The following is a 7,825-nucleotide window of genomic DNA, read 5'->3' on the forward strand; positions in this document are numbered from 1 at the left end:
AAATTCAAGCCGGCTGCAGAAATTTGCACAAGTAATGAGGAGCCGAATGTTAATCCACAAGATGATGGGGAAAATGTCTCTAGGACATGTCAGAGGTTTTCACAGCAGCCCCTCCCATCACAGGCCTGGAGGCCTAGGAGGAAAAAGTGGTTATATGGGCCAGGCCCAGGGTACCTGTGCTCTGTGCAGCCTAGAGACTTGGTGTCTTGTGTTTGAGCTACTCTAGCCATGGCTGAAAGGGGCCAACATAGAGCTTGGGCTGTGGCTCCAGAGGGTGCAAGCCCCAAGCCTTGGCAGCTTTTATGTGGTGCTGAGCCTGTGAGTGCGCAGAATTCAAGAATTGGGGTTTGGGAACCTCCACCTAGATTTCAGAGGATGTATGAAAACACCTAGATGTCCAGGCAGAAGTTTGCTGCAGGGGTGGAGAACTCATGGAGCACCTCAGTTCTTTGGAAAGTTTGGAACTTCTTAGAGATTTGTTAAGTGATTGTGACCAGAATGCTAGTTGAAATATGAACAGTAAGGCCATTCTGATGAGATTTCAGATGGAACTGAGGAATAAGGTATTGGAAACTGGAGTAAAGACCATCCTTGTTATAAATTGACAGAGAACTTGACTGAACTGTGTCTACATTTAAGGGCTTTGTGGAAGGCCAAACTTGAGAGTGACGAACTAGAGTATCTGCAGAAGAAATTTCTAAGCAAAATATAGAAGGAGGTGCATGGTTACTTTTGGCCACTTATGCTGAGATTTGGGAGCAAAGGAATAATTCAAAGACAATTATAAAGATAAAGAAAATTTACATTAAACTGGAAGCAGAGTGGAAAGAGTTGGAAAACTGTCAGCCTGGCCACATGAAGAGTGAAAAAGCACATTCAGAAGAGGAGATCAAGGGTGCAGCTAAAAAGATTAGCACAGATAGAAGGGAGCCGGATGCTATTTCTCAAGACGATGAAGAAAGACCTGAAATGCATTTCAGAGATCTTTGAGGGTGCCCCTCCTGTTATAGGCCCAGAGGTCTAGAAGGGCAGAATGGTGCCTTGGGACTCTGCCCTGAAACCCCAGTGCAGAGCTTCATGGCTGCCCTAGCCAAGGCTCAAGTGACCCCAATTGTAGCTTGTGCTGCAGTTTTGGAAGGTAGAAGCCATAAACCTTGGCAGTGTCCAGGTGGTGCTGACTCTGCAGGCTTGCAGACAGCAAAAGCTGTGGCAGCTTGGCAGCCTCCACCAAGATTTCAAAGGATATCATCAAAAGCCTAGGAGCCCAGGCAAAGATTTGTCACAGGGGCAGAGCCACTGCAAAGAGTCCCCATCTAGCAGAGCCATGGAAGTGGTGCCACCGTAGAGAGTCTCCATTAGGGTAATGCCTAGTAGAGCTGTGGGAGTGGGACCACTACTGGGAACCCAGAAGTGTGCAGTCACTGGCAGTATGCAACACCCACCTGGGAAAGCTTCAGGCACCAGACTCCAATACCTAGGAGCAGTCACATGGGCTGCACTGAGCAAAGCCATAAGGGTGAGGCTGCCTGAAGTCTTGGGGGCCTAACCCATACCCCGTTGTGGATGGGAGGCCACACACAGAGTCAAAAGAAATTATTCTTCAGCTTTAAGATTTAATGTCTGCCCTGCTGGGTTTCAGATTTGCTTGAGACCTGTTACTCGTTTCTTTTTGTCTATTCCTCCATTTTGGAATGGGAATGTCTGTTTTATGCTTTTACCACAACTGTATCTTAAAAGTAGATAACTCGTTTGTATTTCACAGGCTCACAGATGATACTCTGGACTTTGGACTTTTGAGTTGGTGCTGGAATGAGCTAAGATTTTGGGGCTATGGAGTTGGAATGAATATATTTATATTTGAGAAGGACATGAGTTTCAGAGGGCCAGGAGTAGAATGGTATAGTTTGAGTGTTTGTCCCCTCCAAAACTTACATTGAAACTTAATCCCTAAAGTAACAATATTGAAAGGCAGGGTTATTAAGAAATGATTGGTTCATGCTGGGCGCAGTGGCTCATGTCTGTAATCTCAGCACTTTGGGAGGCCTAGGCAGGTGGATCATATGAGGTCAGGAGTTTGAGACCATCCTGGCCAACATGGTGAAACCCCGTCTCTACTAAAAATACAACAAATTAGCCAGGTGTGGCGGTGGGCACCTGTAATCCTAGCTGCTTGGGAGGCTGAGGCAGGAGAATTGCTTGAACCCGGGAGGCAGAGGTTGCAGTGAGCCGAGATTGAGCCGTTGAACTCCAGTGTGGGCGACAGAACAGGACTCTGTCTTAAAAAACAAAAAGAAAAAGAAATGATTGGGTCATGAGGTCTTTGCCCTTGTGAATAGATTAATCCATCTATGGATTAATGAATTAATGGGTTAATGGATTAATGGTTTGCCACAGGAGTGAGACTGGAGGCTTTCTAAGAAGAGGAAGAGAGCTGAGCTAGCGTGGACAGCCACCTCACTATGTGATTCTCTATTCCAGCTTGGGATCCTGCAGAGATTCCCTGCCAGCAAGAAAGCTCTTGCCAGACATGCCCCCTTGACCTTGGACTTCCTAGCTCTAGAACTGTAAGAAGTACATTTTGCGTCTTATAAATTATCCAGTTTTAGATATTCTGTTATGAGCAACAGAAAATAAACTAAGATGGGGTGGGAAGAACAGTCTAGAATCAATGGCTCCGGGCATGTTAAAGAGCAGAAGACCCTGTGCCTGGCCTGGGGAGGGGTCTGGCAGAAGATCTGACTGCTTTCTTTGCCCCCTGAAGTCATGAGTGATCTTCCCTGGTTCATGTGTGTGCAAGACACAGCCATGAGCTGTAGGGGAGGAAAACAAAGTTGCAGGAGGAGAAAGAGGTGACCAAGACCCCTTTGAGAGACTTTAGTCCTTTGGGGAAGATAATTTGCACATCTAGAGCACAGTCAAAAGTGGTTTCTCTGCACCACATCACAAGAATAACCTTAATGGATTCAATTGGTCTTCTTAGCCAAGTGCCAGTTGTCACTGTAGTAGCTCATTACTTTACTGTCTGACCTAATTAGCCATTGCCAGCCACTTTGGCCCAGTGTAGAATGTACGAATAGAGGGCAGGAGAGATGAATTTCTGATAAAGGTACCAGAAAGTGGCTTTAGTATAAATGGCTCAGGCTTTGATTATTTTCAGGATGATAAATCCTGGTTCTTTGGAATTTGATTTAATTTTTGGAAATGCTCAAATGTCACTAGGAGTAATGTGTGAAGAGTAAGAGGGGGACGAAAACTGGAGTGGCATTTGGACTCAAAGGAGGCTCAGCAATGTGGATGTGGCTCCAAGTGAATAAAAGGGCTTGTTAGAGGCTCTGCCTTCCAGGCAGCCTGTGACTGGCCAAGGGCCTGGGTCAGGACATCCTATGCCTTGTGTTGGTCCAGGGAGGGCTTTTCTCCCTGCACTTCCTCCAGGGCCCATCCCATAGAGCACAGGCACACAGCAAGTTGGATGCTTTCGTTTTAATAGCTCTGGGCTACAAGGGTATTTAAGGCTTTAAGTCCAATGATCCCATTCTTTTCAGCTTCTCATGCCCATGGTTTTAATAGACTGAATTTCTTCAGTAATTTTTGTGCAAATTCACTTCCATCTAGAAGGAAAGATGAGACAAATGAGGCTTTTAGGACCCCAGGCACCAGCTCCACCCCTTCCATTTCTCCTCAATTCCATCTCTGCTTTCCAGACTTACTGAGACTCTGGAGAGGCTTACACAGAAGTTGGAGGGATTGAGATTAGATTCACCAGAGCCTGAAGGACCTACCCTCTTCCCCACCTTGGCAGGGGCAGGGGACAAGAATAGAAACAAGCAGGCTCTGCTGCGGGAAGGTAGGGGGTTAGACCCCAGGTGAATCAATATCAGACAACATGGCACATTGAATCTGTTCTTTTTTTTTGAGACAGGGTCTTTCTCTGTCACCCAGGATGGAGTGCAGTGGCACAATCTCGGCCCACTGCAATCTCTGCCTCACGGGCTCAGGTGATCCTCCCACCTTAGCCTCCCAAGTAGCTGGGACTACAGGCATGTGCCACCACGCCTGGCTAATTTTTGTATTTTTTTGTAGAGATGGGGTATCGCCATGTTGCCCAGGCTAGTCTTGAACTCCTGGGCTCAAGCGATCCACCTGCCTTGGCCTCCCAAAGTGCTGGGATTACAGGCGTGAACCACCGTGCCCAGCTGGCAATTTGAATCTGGATGAGAAATTGGAAACATATGAAAGCACAAAGTGAGGGGTCTTCAACAGCAGGGGCTGTGGCAATTCCAAGTCTCATATGTGAGGTGGAAATGGGGGCAAGTTCTGTCCCATATCCCACCCCCGGATGGTGGGTGGTGAGTATTCTCATTCCCACAAAGCCTTGCCTTGGGATGCACTCACTTTCGATGAATTGTTTTCCACCTGGCACGCCTCCGTGCATTCCTTTTCCTGCTTTTGCAAGGGCTTGTTCTGTTAGTAAGATACTTTTCTCCACTATGGATTCTAATTTTGGAGCAGAACAATCACATCAGCAGAAAAATCACCTCATTTAAAGAGAACTCTGCATTGCCCCACCTGCACCCGCCCCCCACCCCCACTCCACCCAGGACATCATCCCTACAGAAAGTCCTAAAGTGCAGAAGTTTTGCTGAGGGCTCCAGCACTTCTCTCATAGGAAGTTGTGTGAGCCAGGACAGAAACCATGTATTGTGCAGGCTGCAACATCTACTATTGTGAAAACGTTGTGTGTGGGTGCAATGCACAATCCCATTTGTGCCTTTGTGTTCAGCTGTTTGAGTCTACCTGCTTCTCACCAGGCTTATCTCTGTGCGTGGAGGTGTGATGTGGGCCTGCAGCCAGAGACTTTTCTAGGTTGTTGATCTGGCATAGAGACAGAGACTTACTCAGGGGGTTTAGTTCCTGCCTGCTTGAGGTGACCTTGGCTGTCCCCTGAACTGCTGCCGCCGAAGTCTCCTGGGCTGTTGTGGTTGTCTCTGGGGGTGAAGCTGGTTCTGCTGGACCTGAGATCTCTTCATTAGGCTTAGCTGTGAATGCACAAATTGATGGATTTTAGCAAAGTGAAAGTGTTTGTTTCTTTTGGAATGGGTTGCAGGGCCCCAGGATACCTAATGTGTGCTGGGTGCCAGGATACAGAAGTGATATGGCTTAAACGCTGCCCCCTTAAGGGAGATAGCATTTCTGCATGCTGTGTGTCTCTTGGAATGCAGCGGGCAGGGTTGGGGAAGGATTTGGACTAGGGGATGGTGAGAATCGGGGAGCACTTCATAGAGAAGCTGGATCTTGAAGGCAGGATGTTAGCAGGAGAGGATGTACCAAAGGGGCTTCCCTGGGGGCAGGCAGTGAGTAAGAGGTCAGGCGAAGGCATGTGTGGGGAATGGAAACAAGTTCAATTTAGCTGATGTGGGTGCGACATAAAAGAGAGTCATGGAAAATGGGGTTGGAAAATGAGGTTAGAGGCCAGATAATGGTTATCTTGCTAAGGAATTGGGAGTAATGGGAGGTGTTTGCAGGTGAAGGTATTAATGCCATGTGAGACATTGCCCTTACCACTTAACCTCATGTTTCTCTCCCTTTTATTCACAATAACCTTTTCCCCATGCTCCCTATTGTCCTTGCCTCTCTGGGTCATCCTCTTTTGTCCTTAGCCTTGTACCATTTCAACCCATGCCACCTTCTTTATTATATTACCTGCCCCTCCCCATTACCACCAAGCACAGAATCCAGATCTCCTCCCACTGGCTTCTTCTCCCAGCCACCACTCACATCCCTAACTGTTAAACCTTCCCAACGAGGGCTAGGGCAGCAGGGAGAGGAGGACTCACAGGTCCCAGCTTCCTGGGCAGGATCAGCACCCGTCGAGTCAGAGGAGGCATCTTCTGCAATGGGGGAAACATGCCAGATGAGAGCAAGGACCGAACCGGACCTACTCGAGCCACCCTCCCCTCCCATTCCCAAAGCTTATCTCCTGGGAATGCTCATGGATAGAAGGGGATCAATTTCCCTTTGGGTTGGACATGCCCTTCCACCATATCAGCGGGTCTACTGGGGCACTCTCTGATGTTTAACTCCTGTGGCTTTTGAAATAACTTCCCCTCTGAGAAGTGTAATGTCTCTTGGAACAGTGCCTTCCTCCTGACTGGCCCCTGGCTTGGTAGGCTTCCCTGAGGTGTCTGTCATGGAGCTGGCCATGGTCAGAGGGGCTCAACCTCCTCTGTGGTGGAGGAGGACAGTATGTGGGGGTTATGGGGCCATATTTGAGCGATTTGCAGGATTGAGACCCCAGCCTTGATTCCCTTTATTCTTTCAACACAACATTTATGCAAAGCTCTGTGCCAAGAGATGGAGGTGCAGTGCTGAAGAGGGCAGACAAGACCCCTGCCCTGACAGAGCTTACATCTGTCCTTTTACGAAATTATTTAATGGCTGGTGTGACAGTGCTGGAAGGGAACGTGCAGCCTGGTGCGAGAAGGGCACATGGATCTGATTTGTTCCGCATGTGCATGGAAGGCCTTTTTGGGGAATTATATGTAAACTGAGATTTTCTAGATGAAAAATCATTGGCCAGGTGACATTAGAGTTGGTTGGGGGAAGGGGCCAGGGAGAGGGAAAGCATTCTAGACGAGGAAAGGACAAGAAGGAAGATCCTGATGTTCAAGGAACAGCAGGATCATCATGGCCCAAATAGTGCTTCTGTGGATCAAAAAAGGCATCCCAGCAGGGCACGGTGGCTCACGCCTGTAATTCCAACACTTTGGGAGGCCAAGGCAGTCGGATCACCTGAGGTCAGGAGTTCGAGACCAACCTGGCCAACATGGTGAAACACCGTCTCTACTAAAAATACAAAATTAGCTGGGCAAGGTGGCATGAGCCTGTAGTCCCAGCTACCCAGGAGGCTGAGGCAAGATAATCGCTGGAACCCAGGAGGTGGATGTTGCAGTGAGCAGAGATCGTGCCACTGCACTCCAGCCTGGGCAACAGAGGGAGACTCGGTCTCAAAAAAAAAAAAAAAAAAAAGGCATCCCTTCCTCCTAAGAGACACAGCCAGGGGCCAGGCTCACTGCTTGGCAAGTAGAGTGTCGGCCAGATTTTAGCTTCTACCACTCCTTGCCTGGGCACCCTCGTGTAGGGGACACCCTGCTCAACTACATGCAGGGGACACCAGAGAAGCCAGTGTAGCTGAGGCATAGTGGGTAAACAATGGTGTGTGAGGAGATGAGCTGGGAGGGCAGGCAGAGGCCAGAGAGTTCTGGGTTCCTCTGGCCAGTGGGGTGCAGAGGCCACGTGTGGAGAACTGGGAGAGGAGTCACTTGCAGAGGCAGGGAAACCAGAATAGCACTGAGAGAGGAGGAGAGGGGTGAAGGCAGGAGTGAGGGGCTCCTTGGACTGGGAGGACTCTTGTGGGGCGCAGAGGAAAGGCCATACTCACCAGCATAGACCAGGGCCCCTGCTACAGCTGCCAAGAAGAGGAGAGTGGTAAATTTCATTCTTTGGGATGAGGAGTGAGTATAACCACAGAATCTGCAGAAGGTCTGGGGAATAAGGATGCTGAAATTGCTGGGCCCTTTTAAGGATATCAAGGGCCAATGGGAACCAAGCCTGGAGAGGTGTGACTTCCGCATCCTCCTCCCCTTCTTCCCCAAACTGTCACCTGCTAAGTCAACAAGGGCTAGGTTGGGCTGGCTGATACCTGGGATCCTTGCAGGCAGGTCCTGGATAGGAGCCTTTCTCTAACTCCCAGCCATCCCTTTTCTTTCTCCCTCCTCCCTTCCCCACCACACCTGCCCTCTGGGTTCACACCCCTGGGCTCTCAGGG

The 7,825-nt window shown here is 49.1% G+C and overlaps 1 protein-coding gene across 1 annotated transcript; it reads right to left on the reverse strand.

Annotated features, from left to right (window-relative positions):
- Positions 1 to 3,465: 3,465 nt before the first annotated feature.
- Positions 3,466 to 7,550, reverse strand: LACRT (lacritin). The gene is made up of 5 exons (NM_033277.2): positions 7,439 to 7,550; positions 5,835 to 5,888; positions 4,896 to 5,036; positions 4,393 to 4,494; positions 3,466 to 3,608 (listed from the first exon to the last, which is right to left on the reverse strand). The coding sequence occupies exons 1-5, from the start codon at positions 7,494 to 7,496 to the stop codon at positions 3,547 to 3,549; spliced, it is 417 nt and encodes a 138-aa protein (NP_150593.1). The 5' UTR covers positions 7,497 to 7,550; the 3' UTR covers positions 3,466 to 3,546.
- Between the last annotated feature and the right edge of the window lie 275 nt (positions 7,551 to 7,825).

Source organism: Homo sapiens, chromosome 12 (assembly GCF_000001405.40).
Source record: "Homo sapiens chromosome 12, GRCh38.p14 Primary Assembly".
In the NCBI taxonomy this organism is placed as follows: domain Eukaryota; kingdom Metazoa; phylum Chordata; class Mammalia; order Primates; family Hominidae; genus Homo; species Homo sapiens.

What these genes read in the sequence shown, in the direction of transcription:
- LACRT (NM_033277.2), bottom strand. Translation starts at nt 7,496, where the DNA reads ATGAAATTTACCACTCTCCTCTTCTTGGCAGCTGTAGCAGGGGCCCTG. An exon ending in AGGGGCCCTGGTCTATGCTG is followed by an intron (nt 5,889 to 7,438) that starts GTGAGTATGGCC and finishes CCCCCATTGCAG; the next exon opens with AAGATGCCTCCTCTGACTCG. An exon ending in TGCCCAGGAAGCTGGGACCT is followed by an intron (nt 5,037 to 5,834) that starts GTGAGTCCTCCT and finishes GTGCATTCACAG; the next exon opens with CTAAGCCTAATGAAGAGATC.